The following is a 17,897-nucleotide window of genomic DNA, read 5'->3' on the forward strand; positions in this document are numbered from 1 at the left end:
CTCAACCCTCTTGGAGATCATAGACCAGGGAACACATGGAGGGGTCAAAAACAAAAGCGATCAGGAGGGCCTCAAATGCCTCAATAAGGAGGTATGGTTTTGAGATGGAGTTCCAGGATTTGGCATGTGGAGTGGCTGAGGCATGGAGGACAGCTGGTAAGAGGAGAGTGATCATCCCTTTCTCCCAGTGGGAGCACTCACTTTTCCCCTCTGGGATGGGGCAATCAACAGCTGCTGGTCTTTGTGTAGCATCCCTTCTGAGAATGAGGGTTCCTTTGAAAAATGACTCCACCTCAACCACCCACGCCGTATGGGTCTGGTGGGGCTGCCAAACACAGTGTCATGTCCAACCTGACTTCCACCACGGTAGAAAACAGATGACCCAGGTTCAGCCAATCACAGTGCCTCAAGACCTGGCTTTGGTGATTGATACAAGGCAGTGCTTTGCAACATAAGGCTGTACTGAACCCCATACCTCTGCTGCTTGAAAAGCAGGGTGGCAGTTTTATTTTTGTTGTTATTAGATTGGGGAGCATGTCTGACATTTAGTGGCCAGGGTGCCAAACATCAGCAGCACCCAAGACAGTGTCTTGTAACAAAGAATTGTCCTACTCCAAAGGCCAATACACTTTGTTGAAAAACCCTCACCTAAAGGATGGGGCCTGGTCCCAACTGGACCCAAGTCTATCCCTTGGGTTTTGTCTAAGAATGTCTGGCAAGAAAAGGCCTCTTTCTCTGGGTTCCCTAGCTCAAGGTGAGCCTGAAGCACCTTGGCCCTTCCCTCTATTCTGTAATGCACACAAGAAGATGTCTGAAGGAGAGAACAAGGCCAACACAGAGAAAGGCTGGGATGAGAGATGGAGACGAGAGTGTGAGATAGCCAGTGACATCATCTACCCTTGTCCTTTTCTGTTATGACAGCCAAAACATTTTTTTTTCCTCTTTCAAGTCAGGTTCCTTTCTCTTGCAACCCAAAGAATGGGTTACTCCAGTCCCGTGGCTGGGTGTGATGTCTCATACCTGTAATCCCTGCACTTTGGGAAGCCAAGGTGGGCAGATCACTTGAGCCCAGGGGTTTGAGACCAGCCTGGGCAACATGGTGAAACCTCATCTCTACAAAGAATAAAAAAAAAAATAGCTGAATGTGGTGGCATGCACCTGTATTCAGCTACTTGGGAGGCTTACTTGGAGGATGGCTTGAGCACAGGAGGTTGAGGCTGCAGTGAGCTGTGACTGTGCCACTGCACTCCAGTCTGGATGACAGAGAGACATCTTATCTCGAAATTTTAAAAAATACATTTAAAAAAATTTTTTTAAGAATCCTAATAATTCTGAGGCTTCAGGAAGCAATGTTCCTTCTCTGATGATGGATGTAGGAAATACAAATTTTAGAAGGCAGCTTCAGCTCTCTATATTCTCCCAAACCTCCCTCCACACTGTCTACAAGCAGGAAACAGCTCCAGGGAAGGATTGCACAGCAAACTCGTGGCAGGAATCATTGGAAGTCAGGTCTCTTGCCTCAGAGCTTGGAACAAATACACTACCCTTGTTTAATAAAATCAAATGTAAGCTCCTGTCATTGGGGTCGGGATGTAACTATGTCCTTAATAACCCATTTGGCATTCAGGGGAAGGTACACAAAAGGAAACTTTGTCTGGGTCCACTGGGAACTTTCAAGCCGGTTGGGGCCACCACTGCTGCCCAGATCCTGTTGATTTGGCTGAAAAAGTGGGATATTCAGATGAAACTGGGAACACAGGATGCTCAAACTAAAGGGCAGGGAATTTCAAGCCTGCTACAGTTCACCCTCTTCTCCTGGGTTTTCCAGGTGAGGCAGTGAAACTGCTCTCTGAGACCTCCCATTTCCTCCACAGAAGACCATCAGGAGATAGTTGGCATCCTTCTTTGGCCCAGAGCATTCTTAGCGGTGCCTTGTGGCCAGGACTCTATTTTATTTATTTTTTTGGAGGCGGAGTCTCACTCTGCTGCCCAGGCTGGAGTGCAGTGGTGCGATCTCGGCACACTGCAACCTCTGCCTCCCAGGTTCGAGCAATTCTCCTGTCTCAGCCTCCCGAGTAGCTGGGATTACAGGCGTGTGCCATGATGCCCGACTTTTTTTGTATTTTTAGTGGAGATGAGGTTTCCCACCATGTTGGGCAGGCTGGTCTCAATGGCCAGGACTCTATAATTAGATGAAGATGGGATCTTCTGCCCTTACCATTAAGTTGGAAGGATGTATGCAAGGCTGGTACTTGCCTGACTTAGATAGAGGGGAGGCTGTGCTGCAGAAAGCAGGGAACCTGCTCACCTTTAAGTGCTTTTCTGATACTGAACTGTCAGAGCTCCTGGATCCTCTGGCATGCCCACTATTCACCAGCCCTGCCTGCCTTCCCCCTCCCCATTACACAGACAAAAGTCACTGTCAGGTATTTGTTGCAGCAGAATAAAGTCTTAATTGTTGTAGGTATGGAAGGGATTCAAACTAAAGCTATTTGACAACACGGTACAAAGAAATTCAGCTTCTGACGTTATCTCCCCATCTCTAAATACCAAATACGCTCACAGGCTCTCTTTCCTCTCCCCTCTTTCAGTTGATTTCTCCAAATGCTTGGGTTCCTGCAGGAAATTTTTTTAGTGTTTTTGAATGTTCTGTTTTGCTTTGTTTTCACTTGAACTTTTGTTATGAATGTCCAACTTTCAATGCACTAGGAACCATGGATTTATCCTTTATTTTCTGCCTCAGAGGGACTTCTTGAGGTTTCTTAATTTATGATCAATTTTGTAAGTGTCCCATGGATACTGGAAAAAGGAAGAAGATTCTGTTTTTTTGCGCATGTGAATTTGTGTGTGAAGAGCTGTGTATATGTGTGTGTACATTTAATCTTGGTAGTTATTCTTGCTTACTTTTTTAGTGCTTCAGTTGCCAAACAGAGTTGTATTAAGCTCTCTGCAGTACTGCTGTGCTTCTGTTGAATTCTCTCATCCAATGTGAATGCTGTTGTTTGGATGTATAGTTTTAAATGTGCAAGTGAATGTGTGTGTGTATGTTTGTAGAATTAAACTTGTTCAGGTCTCCTACAAAGAGGCCACATGGCCATGTGCCCCATGTCTTATGGCCTTGTTTTTATGTTTTTGTTTTCTTTCGTTACACTTTTTCAGAACATGTGATTAAACAGAAATTTGAGCCAAGAGGAAGGGGTAGTGGCAACCTATTGAAAATCCTCACTTTGTCTTGACCACAAGGGAATCTTGCTGACTGACCAAGGGAAAAGCCAGGCTCTCCCTGAGACAATGCAACTGAATAGGGCCAACTGACAGGGAGGAAGAGTAGAGGACAATAGTGAAGCCATGCACCTAGCCAGGCAGGCAGCAGACAAGGGCAGATTGACATAGGACATGTAGCCTGTCAGCTCTGAAACTCTACCAAGAAAGCACGATGTTTTAACAGACAAAAAGAGAGTGGCAGTGGGTACTTGAATAGCACATGAGGGAGGTTGGTCTGCATGGAGCAGAAACTCCCCCACTGGGCGCAATTTGGGCCTGGGATTCCAATCTTGGAGGGAGAATGGTAAGAGGGAGGTTGGGCCAAACTTGGCGGAATTGTGGATAACACAAGGGATCACAGCAGAAGTGTAGGACACAGGCAGAAGCCTAGTGGAGGCTGTGTCGCAGGAAGGCAGGCAGAGACTGTTTAATGTCCAGGTGTCTGAGGACAGGATTAGTGCTGAGAACTGCAGCAAATGGAGCCACAGCCTGTAGCTGTGGCACTGCCTCTCAGGACAAGAGAGAAGATGCTCAAGCCTGCTGGCCCACAGCCCTAACTCAGGGTCCAGGAAGTCTGAATCCCATTTTAGTTCTCTGATGAGGAAGGGAGGGTGCTGAAGGCCGGAGGATGTGTCTCCAGGGAAACAGGTAAAGCAGTGGGGAGTTGGGAGAGCTTAATGCACCTCTTTCTGTCTTTGGCAGATCAAGCAGTCAAAAAATTAAAAAGGATTAGCTACTAGGACTAAATAAACACACACATACACATTCACACACAAATTAAATACACAAACACACACAAGTTAATGTGCACAAAAAATAGAATCCACTTCTGTTTTCTAGTATCCATAGGACATTTATAAAAATTAATCCTAAAATAAGAAATACACTTCCCAAAGCCAAAAAAAAAAAACAGTATTTATCCACAGGTCAAATTCTATATCCATAGTGTATTTAAAATTAGACATTCACAACAAAAATCTGTGTGAAAACAAAACAATACAAAACACAAAACAAAATAAAACAAAACGTTTTCCTAAAGTAACCCAAGCATTTGGGGAGACCAGCTTGAAAGATGGGGATGGGGATAGACAGCCTGTGAGCATATTTTTAATGTTTGAGAAGCTGCAGAGACAATGCCAGAAGTTGAATTTCTCTGGTACTGTATTGGCAAAATAGCTTTTGTTTCGATCCTCTTTGATACCTATGCCAGTTACAATTGTATTCTGCTATGGCAGAGAACTTGGTAGTGATTTTTAAGTTCATCTGTGTAATGGAGGAGGTTAGGTAGTACTAGTTTTGTTCCTGGTCATTAGTTGATTGACCTTTCCGTAGACAAAAAGTAAAAATACAGGGAAATGTATCTTCCTAAATGCATTTATGAGATGGCAAGAAAATAGGAGACTCTCAGGCCAAAATTCTAAGTGAAAGAAAGAACTCAGGAGCACTGCAACTGGCTGTTGTTCTTATGGCATTTACTGAACCAGATGAACTTGAGCTTCTGTTGTCTGGTCTCACAGGGCACAGGAAATGGGAGACAAGATCAGGGGCCATCCAAGGCCCCTGGACACTTCCACCATAAAGATGAGACCCCCCCCAAGGTTTACACTTCCAGTGAAAGGGTGAACCAGAAACAACTACTAATCTTCAACTGCTGGGAGGATGTAAAAACCCAGCTGCCTAGCCGAAAAGGAGAAATAATGTCATCACTGAGAATTCGGAACCACAAGCTCTCTGTCCCCCATGGTGCTTAAAGCCCGAATTCATGTTACCTATATGGTTCCAACAATAAACAAATTAAAAAACTCAAGTCTGGAAGGCTGAGGCGGGTGGATCACCTCAGGTCAGGAGTTCAAGACCAGCCTGGTGAAACCCCATCTCTACTAAAAAAGGAAACAAACAAACAAACAAAAATTAGCTGGGCGTGGTGGCTCAAGACTGTAATCCCAGCTATTCAGGAGGCCGAGACATGAGAATTGCTTAAACCCGGGAGGCAGAGGTTGCAGTGTGCTGAGATAGTGCCACTGCACTCCAACCAGGGGCACACAGTGAGACTCCTTCTCAAACAACAACAACAACAACAGCAACAGAACAACAACAACACAACTCAAGTCAATAATTTAGAGTAATAAAAGACTGGTAGTGGTCCAGGTGGCAAAAATAAATGCAAATCCTTGATAAAACTTACTTAGAAATAAATTTAACAAATGTTATGAAAGACCCCTGCCAATAAAAACTACAAAACATTGTTGAGAAAAATTAAAGATTGAAATAGATGAAGAAATATACCATGCTCATGGATGGGAAGACTCATATTGTAAAGATGTCAATTCTCCACAAATTGATTTATAGTTCAGTGCAATTCCAATAAAAAGCATAGCAGGGTTTTTGTAGATATTGACAAACTAGAACTAAAATTTACTTGGAACTATAAATATCTTAGCATAGGCAAAACAGTATTGAAGAAGAACGAAGCTGGAGAACTTGTTCTACCTGATTTTGAGACTTACCATAAAGTATAGTAATCAAGTCAGTGATGTTGGCATTAAAATAAACCGAAGACCAATGGGGAAAAAAGAGAGTCCATAAATAGATCCACAAATATACAAATGGTTTTTGACAGTCACCAATGCAGTTCATTGGGGAAATTTTCTTAACAAATCTTAATGAATTATCCTGGATCAACTGGATGTCAGTATAGAACAAACTGAACTTTGATTCACACCTCACGTCATACGTAAGATTTAATTCAAGATAGCTTAAAGACTTAGATGAAGAAGGTAAAACTATAAAATAACTAGAAGAAGGACATATAGGAGGAAATCTTTGTGATTGAGGGTGGGGCAGTGAAAATATTCTGCATGATACTCTCACTGTATATTCATCAAAACACATAGACAATAACAGTGAATACAAAGGTGAACTACTGACTTTGGGTGGTAATGATGTGACAGCGTAGGTTCATTGACTGTAACAAACGTACCTCTCTGGTAGGAGGCATTGACAGTGGGAGAGGCTGTGAGTGTGGGTGAAGTCAGGGAATACATGAGAACTATGTAATTTCACATCAATTTTGCTGTGAACCTAAAACTGCTCTAAAAAATGAAGTTTATAAAAAAAAGACAAAAAAGACAGATTACTTACAAAGGAGAAACCATTAGACTACCATCTAATTTCACATAAACAACAATGGAAGGCAGAGACAGTGAAATGATACGTTCAATTGTGGAGAGAAAACAATTATCAACCTAGAATGCTATGTTCAGTGAAAACATTGTTGAAAAATGAGGGTTAAATAAAAACATTTTCAGTCGAACAACAACTAAGATTATTTGCCACTGGTAGACTCTCACTAAAAGAAATTTTAAAATATAAACTTCAGGAATAATAACAGTGATTTGAAGTAGAAAGTCTGAGAGGTAAAAAGAAAAACGAAGATCAGAGAAAGTGGTTAAAAAGTGTTTGTACGTGTGAAAAAAAGCTTATCATCACTGGTGAGATACCACAATGAGATACCATCTCATGCCAGTTAGAATGGCGATCATTAAAAAGTCAGGAAACAACAGATGCTGGAGAGGATGTGGAGAAAAAGGAATGCTTTTACACTGTTGGTGGGAGTGTAAATTAGTTCAACCATTGTGGAAGACACAATGTGTGTGTGGCGATTCCTCAAGGATCTAGAATTAGAAATACCATTTGACCCAGCAATCCCATTATAGGGTATATACCCAAAGGATTATAAATCATTCTACTATAAAGACACATGCACCTGTATGTTTATTGTGGCACTGCTCACAATAGCAAAGACTTGGAACCAACCCAAATGCCCACCAATGATAGATTGGATAAAGAAAATGTGGCACATATACACCATGGAATACTATGCAGCCATAAAAAAGGATGAGTTCATGTCCTTTGCAGGGACATGGATGACACTGAAAACCATCATTCTCAGCAACTAACACAAGAACAGAAAACCAAACATCATATGTTCTCACTCATAAATGGGACCTGAACAATGAGAACACAGGGACACAGGGAGGGGAACATCACACACAGGGGCCTGTCGGGGGTGGGGAGCTAGGGGAGGGATAGCATTAGGAGAAATACCTAATGTAGATGATGGGTTGATGGATGCAGCAAACCACCATAGCACGTGTATACCTATGTAACAAACCTGCATGTTCTGCCCATGTACTCCAGAACTTAAAGTATAATTTAAAAAGAAAGAAAGAAAGAAAGAAATGTGACCTCCAATGTTGGAGGTGGGCCTAGCAGAAGGTGTATGAGTCATGGGGGTGGAAAAAAAAGTGTTCGTAAACATGTACACACTTATTTTCTCTTGATATCCTTGCCTCTTTGCAATGTGATTTTGCAGTTCCTTTTTATCAAAAAAAATGGAGTCTTTTTCCCCACCCTTTGAATTTGGGCTCAGCCCCAGTTCATGCCCAAACCAATGGGATATGGTAGAAGTGATGTTGTGCCAGTGGATGTTTTTTTGTTTTGTTTTGTTTTTGAGACAGGGTTTCACTCTTGTCACCCAGGCTGGAGTGCAGTGGTGTAATCATGGCTCACTGCAGCGTTGACTTTCTGGGCTCAAGCGATCCTCCAACCTCTCAGCTTCCTGAGTAGCTGAGACTACAGGTGTGAACCACTATGCCTGGCTAATTTTTGTATTTTTTGTAGATAAGTGGTTTTGCCATGTTAACCAGGCTGGCCTCAAACTCCTGGGCTCAAGCCATCGCCCCATCTTGGCCTCCCAAAGCGCTGGGATTACAGGCATGGGCCACCATGCCTGGCCGGTGCCAGTTCTAAACCTAGACTCAAGGCTCTTGCACGCTTTCATTCATTATCTTGGATAATGAATGTCATGTTATCAAGCCTAGGCTAGCCTGCTGGAGGATGAAAATCCACATGGAGGAGCTGATCTAGCTCATTACCCTCTTCCACCCCCTTCCACCTGACAACCGACTCATAAGTGAGCTCAGTGGAAATCAGCATAAATTGGCCTAAACCTGAAAAACTGTCCTACAGTCTCATGAAAGATGATATATGGTTATTATTCTAAGCCACTAAATTTTGAGGTGGTTTGTTTTTCAGTTAGGAGCACCAAGAATTAGCAATAGCTAATAATGGCAGAAGTCAATAATGTCTTGTAGGTTAGAAAATAAGATAGAAATAAAATATGCAACAATAAATAGGATGGACAAATGAGCAGAATAGAAGCATTCTAAGGTGAATAAAAATAGATTAATTTTTCTCATATAATAAGAAATAAGCATTATGGAGCTGGTGCAGTTATTCAAAGTGAATAAAAAATAGATTAATTTTTCTCATATAATAAGAAATAGGCATTATAGAGCTGGTGCAACTGTTCAGGAAATTTATCAAAAACCTAGACTCTCTCCATTTTTTCTCTCTACAGTCCTCAGTTTTGGCTATCGCCTTTATGTTTACAAAATGGCTGCTGTACCTCCAGGCATTGCAACTGTGTTCCAGGGAGAAAGAGAGAATATGATGAGTCTCTTCTTTTTTTAACTAGGAAGTATCTTTTGTACAGGCTCCGCCTTGTGGAAAGTAGATTTCTGTTTACATGTCACTGGCCAGAACTCTTGTCACATGGCCATACCTAGGTACAAGGAGCCTGGGAAATTGACATATATATTTTTTCTAGGTGATCTGCTTTCCCAAAGAAAAACAGGACTCCATTATAAAGCAAATGTAAGAATGGGTGTAGTTTAGATGACAAGCAGTCTCTGCTCTCTATTTTGGAGAAATCCTCTTACTTAAGGAACTAATCCAAAAGGAAAAGCAAACAATGTCCTTGGCATAAAGATTAAGAGACAACATTACACAGGGTACAAGGCACTGGAGTGAGACTCCTAGTCCTAGCTCTGCAGCTGACTTGCTGGGGAACTGATCCTCAGTTTCCTTCCCTTTAAATTAAGACATTGGAGTAAATAACATGTAAGCATTTTAAACAACAAGTAAGTCTGTAAAGACTGAAGGGAATTAACATTTATGACAGATTCCTTAATGTGCAATAGCTCATTTAGACCTCACAACAGTATCTCCCTTTACCCTGGGGGATGCTAAATCTCAAAGCAGTCAAATAGTGTTCCCAGACCCACATCTAGTGAGTGGCAGCCAGAATTTCAAGTCGGGTCTGTAGGCCTCCAAAGCCAGAGGCTTCTTTCTACTGCCCATCCAACCTTTCTCAAAAGGCAAATAAGGTCATGCATTTTTATTTACTGAATTTTAAGTAAAGCAGTGTCTTTTGAAGCGGGCCCAGTGCCACTTGCAGCAGAATCACCTGGGATGTCTATTACAAATGCAGATTCCTGAACCTTCTCCACATGAACTGAAGCAGACTTGCTAGGGCCGAGGGAGACCCAGGAATCTGTATTATTACAAGCTCTCCAGGTAATTGGAGAGACTTTACAATTTGGGAACCATGATTTTAAACTAATAATTTAGTGTTCCATTCTAGTGTAGTTTATTTATGGATCTGTGGCTCATGGAAATTTCCTCCTAGTATCAGGAAGATACAACTTAAAAATAGTCTGTTTTTCCTTCCTATTGTATCCACTGAATTCCACGGAAAATGTTAAGGAACTGGAGGTGTGATTAACACTGATTAATCTAGGCTCCGTACGTCAAAGGCACAGACTGACATGAACATACATGCTGATTAGAATCATACAGAGCTGGAAGGGGATGGGCAAAGAAATGGCATTAGCTAAATATTTACTATGTTCCAGACACTGTACCAGACACATTACGTCATTTAAGGGGCCCAAGACAAGTGATTCAATCCCTTTTATTTATAAACGGGGTAGGTACTATTATTATTTACATTTTAGAGATGAAGAAGCTAATGGCCAGAGAAAAACAGTCACTTTCTGAGATCATTCATTCATTCATACAATAAAAATCTCATTAGCTCTTATCTTATGAAAGACATTGCAAATAGAGCAGCAAAAAGGCAGTCTAGGGACCTCAGGTGGCACAAAGTCCACCAAATCTCCATTGAAGAAACTGGAACTGAGAGGGCAAATTGGGACTGGAGCCTGCCAGAAGCCATCTCTCTGGAATCCCTCAGCCTGAGCAAGAGGGGAGTTTGCTGCTGAGGCTGCTGGAGCTGCGGTGTAGAGCAAGTTGCAGGCCTCTGAGCCTGTTGGAGGTTCAGAAAGGTTAGCTGACTTGCTTAAGTAAGTGTCCTAGACAGGAGGGAGAAAGCGCGCGGGTCTCAGATCCCAGCTCCAATATCCACGCCTTTTCCCTTTTCATCTCCCGGAAGGAAGCCTTCACAGGTGGGGAAAATGCTCACCCAGTGACTCTAAAGTAGTGCACAAATTGGCATTAATCAGAACCATTCTGATTCCTGCTATCAAGGTTTATTTAATTCTAAGCTCAAATGACACAGAAAATAAAATTTCCTCCTTAAAAGGTTCTGCGGAAAAATATTCTCTGTTCTACGTAACAGCCTCCTTGGCTGTGTTTGTGTCTGAAGAAAGGACTAGTCTGACAGGAAGAATTACAAATCTGGAGCTCATTTTGGCGTCGCAGAGGGAAGGTGGGTGGAGCGTCTCGCAGTAAATTAGGAATTCAGAATGAAAACGTAGAGTTTATTTGGGTTTTTAGTGACACCTCAGGATTATTATACAGCAGTGTCAGACACAGCTCAAAGTAATGATGACTGCTCCCCCTCCGCCCCGCGGGAGCTGGGTGCTAAGAAGGGGGAACCCCTCCTTTGAGGGGTTGGGGTGGGGATCCTCCCTTTCCAACCTGGATCGGGAAGGGGTTTGAGAGGAGTGCGGCTTGGATCCCCATCCTGGATCTGTGCTGGAGGGAGGCGGGAGGCTATTTGGGGGTGTGTTTGGGCTCAGGATCTGGGTCTGACGCTGGGATCTGAGGACTTTCTGGGTTTGGAACTGGGTGGGGGAGCTGGGTTTGGGGTGACCGCTGGGAGCAGGAGGAAATAGGAGAGTGAGTCGCATGTGAAGGGCACTGAGGAGGGATCTTCGGGGGAATGCTGAAGTTGATGCGTGGACTTGGAGAGGGGAAGTTGAAGTGGATGCAGGGGCCTGGCGCTGCAGCGGATCTGGGTGGCATGTGCTGGGATTGCCAATGCGGAGCTGTGAATGGGGTCAGGGTGGGGCTGAGGCAGTACCAGATCTTCCGCGCCTAGAGGAGGTTAGAAGAAAAGAGCGTCGAACGGCCACAGCCTTTTTCCGAAAGAGACTCACACAGACACACCCATCGCTCTACCCGGCCCTCCGGGGCTAGCGGCTGAGCGGTGCTGGGGCTGGCAGACCCCGCCCCCACGCGGCCTCTCGGAGCCGGGAGCCGATCGGGCCGGGGCTGGGGTCTGGCGGCCCAGCCCCCGGGGAGCGTGGGGCGTGGCCAGAAACCGGCGCTCGCGGCTGCGGATTGGCTGCCTGGCGGGCCCGCAGGCGGGGCTCCCGGCTGGGTCCCGCTTGGCAGCTCGCGGCGGCGGGGAGGCGGGGCCGGCGGGAGCCCGGCAGCCAATGGACGCGCGTCCTCCGAGCAGTTACAAAGGGCCGGAGCGAGGCCGCCGCGGCGGCTAGGGAGGTGGGGCGAGGCGAGGTTTGCTGGGGTGAGGCAGCGGCGCGGCCGGGCCGGGCCGGGCCACAGGCGGTGGCGGCGGGACCATGGAGGCGGCGGTCGCTGCTCCGCGTCCCCGGCTGCTCCTCCTCGTGCTGGCGGCGGCGGCGGCGGCGGCGGCGGCGCTGCTCCCGGGGGCGACGGGTGAGCGGCGGCGCGGCGGGCGGGCGACTGCGGGGCGCGCGGGCCGGACCCGGCCTCTGGCTCGCTCCTGCTCTTTCTCAAACATGGCGCGGGGCCGGGGGCGCAGGTGGCGGCGCCGGGGCCCGGGCCGGGCTCTCGTGGCGCCGCGCGGCTCGGCGGCTGCCGGGCGAACCGCAAGCGGGGAGCGGAGGCGGGGCAGGGGCGTGTGTCCGGGCGCGGGCGGACGTGTCCGGCTGCCCGAGGCCGCCCCGCTCGGGACTCCCCGGGGAGGTGGAGTCGGGCGGAGTCGTCCGAGGTCCGGGGCTGCCCTCTGGGGTGTGAGTGGGCGAGGGCCAGGGGCGGAGAGTGCGAGGCCGGCGGGGACTGGCAGAGCCGTGGCTGCCCGCCGCCGCCCCCTGGGCACGGCGTGACCTTGTTCTGGGGACCCCCGCCCCAAGAGGGTCCGTGCCAGAGGCTGCCGAACCCGGGGCGGGGTTTGAGGTTGGGGTGGAAGGCGGCTCCCGGGCGGGGTGTGAGCTCCGAGCCTCTAGGGCTTCGTCCAGTGGGAGTCGGGGGCGACGTGTGGTGAGACCCCTGGGTCCGCAGGCCGCCCTGACTCCCGCCCGGCTCGACCCGAGCCGACCCTGCTGGAAGGGGCTGCTCCTCCAGCCAGGGGGGCTTTGTGTGAGAAGAAGGAAGCGCGGAGATGCGCGGAATGTTTCTTCTTTCGTGCGTCTGGGGAGTGTTGAAGTGAGTCCAGTAACCAGACGGCTACGGATTGTTTTCATAGTGGAAACTTGAACGTTTGCTCATTCTGCGGGTTTTGGAAATTTTGGGAACGACTGTGAATTGATTAAACGCTTTTTATTTCCTCGAAGGAACATCACTCACGTTGTTCCTTTTCTTGAGTGACAGTTAATAGTTTGATTCAGACATCTGTATAGCTGGTTTTCAAGGAAGACTGTTGGCTGGATTTTTCAAAATAGTAAATCAGGTTGGGGTAGGTGGTTGGTATCCACAAAGGGATGAGTGAAAAACTTCGTTAGCAGCTGAACTGAGACACTAGAAGCTAAAATACACAGCCTCAGTGTTAGCAACTAAAATGCAGTGAAAGTACATTTCTGTTTCTGAAACTGGACAAAAGATGTTGAAATTTTTTTAAAAAATCAAGACTGACGGTGACGATTATAATCAGTCCTAATAGCTACCGTCTATGTATTGTGCATTACTACGATGTAAATGCATACACTATTGTATAATTACATTATTTAATCACCACAAGTAAACTCCCAGGAGTAGTGGCATTTGCCCCACTTTACAGATGTGCAAAGTGGGGTACAGACACGTTAAGTACCCAATAACTTAAGTGCTAAAGCTAGGATTTTCACTCAGATCTCAGTTTCCCAAACCTGTATGTCATATATATATATAAATATGTATACATCATACTATCTGGCGTAGCCCATTTTTCTTCTTCAGTCGTCTGATGAGCAATTGGTCTTTATTATCCACTTTGGATTCTGTCCTCATGATTTGAGTATCAGATAGGCTTCATTCCGACTCTTAGCACATTGTTGAGTCCCTTCACGTGGGCCTGCATTAGAGGAAACAATGGATTTTTGACATTGGCCTAGGGAGGAAGGCAGGATAACTGTGTGGACATTTGGGAGAATCAGTATAGTTAGGCATGAAACACAGGTAACATTTCCACACCGCTATTAACTTGAATAACACAGTGCACTCTTTTCCACCAGAAGTAGCACAAGAAGCGTTCATGTATTCAAGTAACAGTAGTGGACTTAGTTGAAGACACAGAACATTGCTCAGTCCATGTCCTGGAGGAGTTTACAGTCTCCATGGTATGCACAAAATACAAAGCTGTCCAGGTGCTTATTACTCTAAGCCCAGACTGCCTCAGCTTGTCTGCCTCCCCTGTTGGTTATGATGATGCCTCAGTCCACCCTTAAAAAACATTCTGAAAAAGGTCAAATGCTTTTTATTTCCTCTGTAACTTGGCTTCCCTTTTAAAGACTTGCACCTTTTTATGTTCTGAGTATGTTTTAATGTTCTCTGCCCAACTTCTGTCTCCAACATAGGTTTCTCTAGGGAAATTGATTCCTTATCCCTAGTGCACAGTTTAGTACCACTATGTCTATATGTATATCCCATCTGAGAATGCTATTTGCTTCCTTTCTGCCATTTCATAACTTTTTTTCTTTGAAAACGTGCCCCCAATCCAACTCTTCTATGAATGCCTCTTGAATGTCTCCTCCTTTCTTGGTATGCAGCCTTCAGCTTAATCCTGCCTGTTATCCTCCAAATCTAGTTGCTTTCCCATGTTTTTCTCATCTAGGCTTTTCTATGGCTACTGCCAAACTAATCTTCCTCAGCCTTCCCCGTGAAGGTTTATAAGATTTCCCATTTGTATTCAGCACTTAGAACAACACTTAGCAGCTTATGATTGGGGCCATCTCTGAGTATCCTACCAGGGATCTCATTTCTCATTACTGCAGACCTTCGAGCAATTTCTCTTTCTCACTGACTCCTGACTGTTCAGCCTTTTCACTACACATTTAGTTTTGCCCCTTTTTTTGGGAGTGCGAGAAGTTCTCAGCCCTGACTTCCTGTGCTGGTTTAGTTCTTGAATTCTTTGTCTTCCAGAACTCTGCAACACTTAACAGTTTGTGTTGTCCATTTCTACTGCCTGTGCTGCTACTTAACTCTACTTGAATGCGTTATAGGTACCCAGAGGACAAGATTCATGCCATTTCTTTCTTTTGTGGCCTCAGAACTTAGCACTGTGTTTTATATTCTATTCCACATAAATGCTTGTTGATTTCTATTTGAGCATTCCTTTAATATTTATACTGTTTTATGTAAGTCCAGTTTATGCAATATTAACTTGTAATTCCGTATAAATAATCAGGAAAAGTTGTATGGCGTGTTGAAAGCAATTGGTTATTTGTCCTACCTTCACCAGCAGTTATGCAGAAAATGGGGCAATACCTACTTTTGCCTAATTCATGAGATTGTGAAGATCACATGAGAAAGTGGTATTTGAGTTTGAGGTTGCTATTCTGTGTTGTTGCTAAAGAGCAGGACTGATGTTCAATAAGCAGTTCCCACTGGGCCATGTGTGTTTTGGTTAAACATCCTTTCTGATTGGTTGGTACCCTTGTAGTGCCAGTTGTTAAATATTTTTAATATCATTTCTATAGGGAGGCATTAGTATTCAAAAAGGGAAATGATTAGTGTAAGCTGGAATGATTGGGGGAGGCTTCTTGGACACTTTAGGACTTACACTGACTTTGAAGGGTGGGTAGAATTCAGAGGGGGATTTGATGAGTGTGAAAGTTCTTTTGAAGTTGTGTCCCCAACTGTCCTGGGGCCTACTCCAAGGGAGGAAACAAGGCTTTTACTGACTGACTGGCAAGTTACTCTTCAGAGTTAGGTTCCTTATTCTGTACTGTGGAATTTGGATGTATTAACCTCTATCATTTTTTCCCCAATCCTAAAAGCTATAGTACATAGCTGGAAACAAAACATAAAAGTAATCAAAGTGGAATGAGTGAGGGAGAATAACATTATGGGATGCCCAGTAGGACTAGGCATTCAAATGGTGGAAGTCCTAAGTATATTATCACTTCAATTTACAGATGAAAAAACGACTCAGGTGAATTTCTTAGGGTGGCACAGGGGCAGAACAGAGACAGGAACTTTGATTTTCTGATTCCATATCTTGTGCCCTATATGGTGCTTTAAAATGTGAAGGACTTGGAGGTGGGAGTGGGACAGGGTTGGGATAGGTGGTTGGCATCCACGAAGGGATGAGTGACTTCCTTAAGTGAAGTAGGCCTTGAACTTCACAGAATTTATGAAAAGTGAATTCTAAAGGTGGAAGGGAGGGGGAATGATTAAAGCCTTAAAGTTCTCAAGGAAAAGGTCAATTTTTTTTTAATTGCTGATAAAAGGACCTGGTATATACTTATTGATTGAGAAAAGTAGGCCTATAGTAGTTTGGAAGATGGTCTTGAGTAAGTACAGTTAATTGAATTGGGGTGTAGTTAGAAGGCTTTGGTTTAGAATATTAGATGATCCGCTTTGTTGTTGAAATTAAGAGAGGAATTGACATAAAAATAATCAAGAGGAAGATAAATCTTGTTCCTGTGAGGAGGGCCGCTCATGTAGGGAAGACCCCTGTCAAAAGGTTCTAGGCCTTAGTTGAGCAGTTACAGGGACTCAACACCATTCTTGTAGTGTCATTTTATTGCACCAAATATGTTCATGTGTAATAAATGGAATTTTGAAAATGCCATTATCCTATGGATGGCCCTTCTGATGTGAGAACGTGTCTCTTCAAACCACAGAGCCCCTTGCAAATGTCGACACACCTCTTGCCTTTTGCAGTTCTTCCTTGGTCATGGCTTACGTAACACAGAGTTCTCTGAACAGATGGACTGTGGTTTGATATCATGTGATTGGGTCACATCTTTGCTTCCTGCTTTTGGAATTGAGGGCAGATGCTGGCATATTTCTCAGGGATTTTTTAATGCTTTGTCCCATAGAACTAGCTTGAGGAAAAGTTTTGGAGTCTTCTCAGAATTTATGGTCAGTTTTGACCCAGCCTAACTCCAATACTTAGGATTACATTTAATGCCATTCTTAGCTGAATTTTCTCAATGTCAAATCCAGGCAGTCTCCATAAACATTAAAATTGTTTACCACTCTGAATTAGATCCAATTTTATGTGTTTTGTTTGCTTTCCAGGTAAGTTTCTTATGGCTACCCTTCTTCATCATGAAGAAAATTGGTTGGTAGACTTGTAATTATTCATCTCAGACATCACTTTCTTAAATACTAGTGGACTAAGTTCAGTTGGTTTTATGGTCCAATTTTATAGATCAGATCAAGTCTTTTATAAAGCTGCTCCCTCAAAGAACAATTTCTAATCTAACTTAAAAAAAATTGACTTGCAAAGTATACACACAGGTTGCTTTGAAATTTCTTGAAGGGTTGCAAGAATATGCTACATATTCTATCTGTCTTGTCTCGTTTAATTCTCTCTTCTCTCTTTTTTTTTCTTTGACCATGGCTAATACGGCATCATTTAGTTCTCATAACCAACCTTGAATGGTAGTTGTATAGAGTACCAAAACTTCTTACTTATTTGCTGCTTAATTTCCAAACTCTTAAGCCCATTTGTTCCCAGATACAGGTGACCAGTGCTCAGAAGATAACTGTAGGTTTTGATAACATCGGCTCTACCCCAAGATTCTTTTCAACTCTAAACATTATCCAAAGGTGTTAGTATTTTTTCATCGTCTAATCGTAAATATATATATAAAAGAAAGACACTGCTTTGAATGGCACAGATGTAGACTAACAGTAGTTCAGCCACTGAGACTCAAATGATTTTGTATTACCATAAACCCCATCTGCCTGGGCAGGCAGAATTGACACAATTTTGCTCAGATTGGAACCTAGTTCATATCTATGAAAGAAGACCCTCTTTGTTTCCATTTTATAGACCAGGAAACTGAAGTTATGCTGTTAATGAAAGGTGGAGCCTTCAGTTAAGCACTCCAGGGTATGTACTCTTTTCCTATACAAATGCTCCTCTACTTATGATGGGGTCACGTACGTCCATGCTCCTTTCATATAGAGTAAATACATTGTTAGAGCCACTTCAGCAGGAAAGTTTCCTTTCCCTTTTTTGCAAACCATGAGAATTTGCTTCAGATTGCCTTGATTACAGTTTTACTATTTCTTTGCAACTGCAGGCCATTCAGATACTAACAGTCTTTCTTTAACATTATATTTTTAGGTAATTTGAATCTTCCTGACGAGTCCAGTGATAGTTGATCACTTACTATTTGTATTGATTT

General features: G+C 44.2%; 1 protein-coding gene across 28 annotated transcripts in view, besides 2 other annotated features; it reads left to right on the forward strand.

The window, feature by feature from the left end:
• Positions 10,378–17,897, forward strand: part of TGFBR1 (transforming growth factor beta receptor 1) — a 50,546-nt gene continuing 43,026 nt past the window's right edge. For 15 of the 28 annotated variants that reach the window (NR_176360.1, NR_176362.1, NR_176361.1 and 12 more), the window contains exon 1: positions 11,844–12,033. Coding sequence is in view for 9 of the 28 variants with exons in the window: in NM_001306210.2 (NP_001293139.1) it covers positions 11,937–12,033 (97 nt within the window). In the remaining 19 variants the exon portion in view is untranslated. Of the gene's footprint in view, positions 10,473–10,782; positions 10,838–11,179; positions 11,251–11,422; positions 11,458–11,813; positions 12,034–12,305; positions 12,329–12,544; positions 12,763–13,766; positions 13,872–17,539; positions 17,600–17,897 lie in introns of those variants that run through there. The other 13 variants (NM_001407432.1, NM_001407419.1, NM_001407433.1 and 10 more) reach the window with 9 other exon arrangements.
• Positions 11,372–11,971: a silencer, noted in NCBI's record as "silent region_20124". NCBI's record gives its function as "represses an Ori minimal core promoter by ATAC-STARR-seq in GM12878 lymphoblastoid cells {active_cell/tissue: GM12878}" and the evidence as "EXISTENCE:reporter gene assay evidence [ECO:0000049][PMID:35858748]".
• Positions 12,062–12,571: a silencer, noted in NCBI's record as "silent region_20125". NCBI's record gives its function as "represses an Ori minimal core promoter by ATAC-STARR-seq in GM12878 lymphoblastoid cells {active_cell/tissue: GM12878}" and the evidence as "EXISTENCE:reporter gene assay evidence [ECO:0000049][PMID:35858748]".

This window comes from Homo sapiens, chromosome 9 (assembly GCF_000001405.40).
Source record: "Homo sapiens chromosome 9, GRCh38.p14 Primary Assembly".
Classification (NCBI taxonomy): domain Eukaryota; kingdom Metazoa; phylum Chordata; class Mammalia; order Primates; family Hominidae; genus Homo; species Homo sapiens.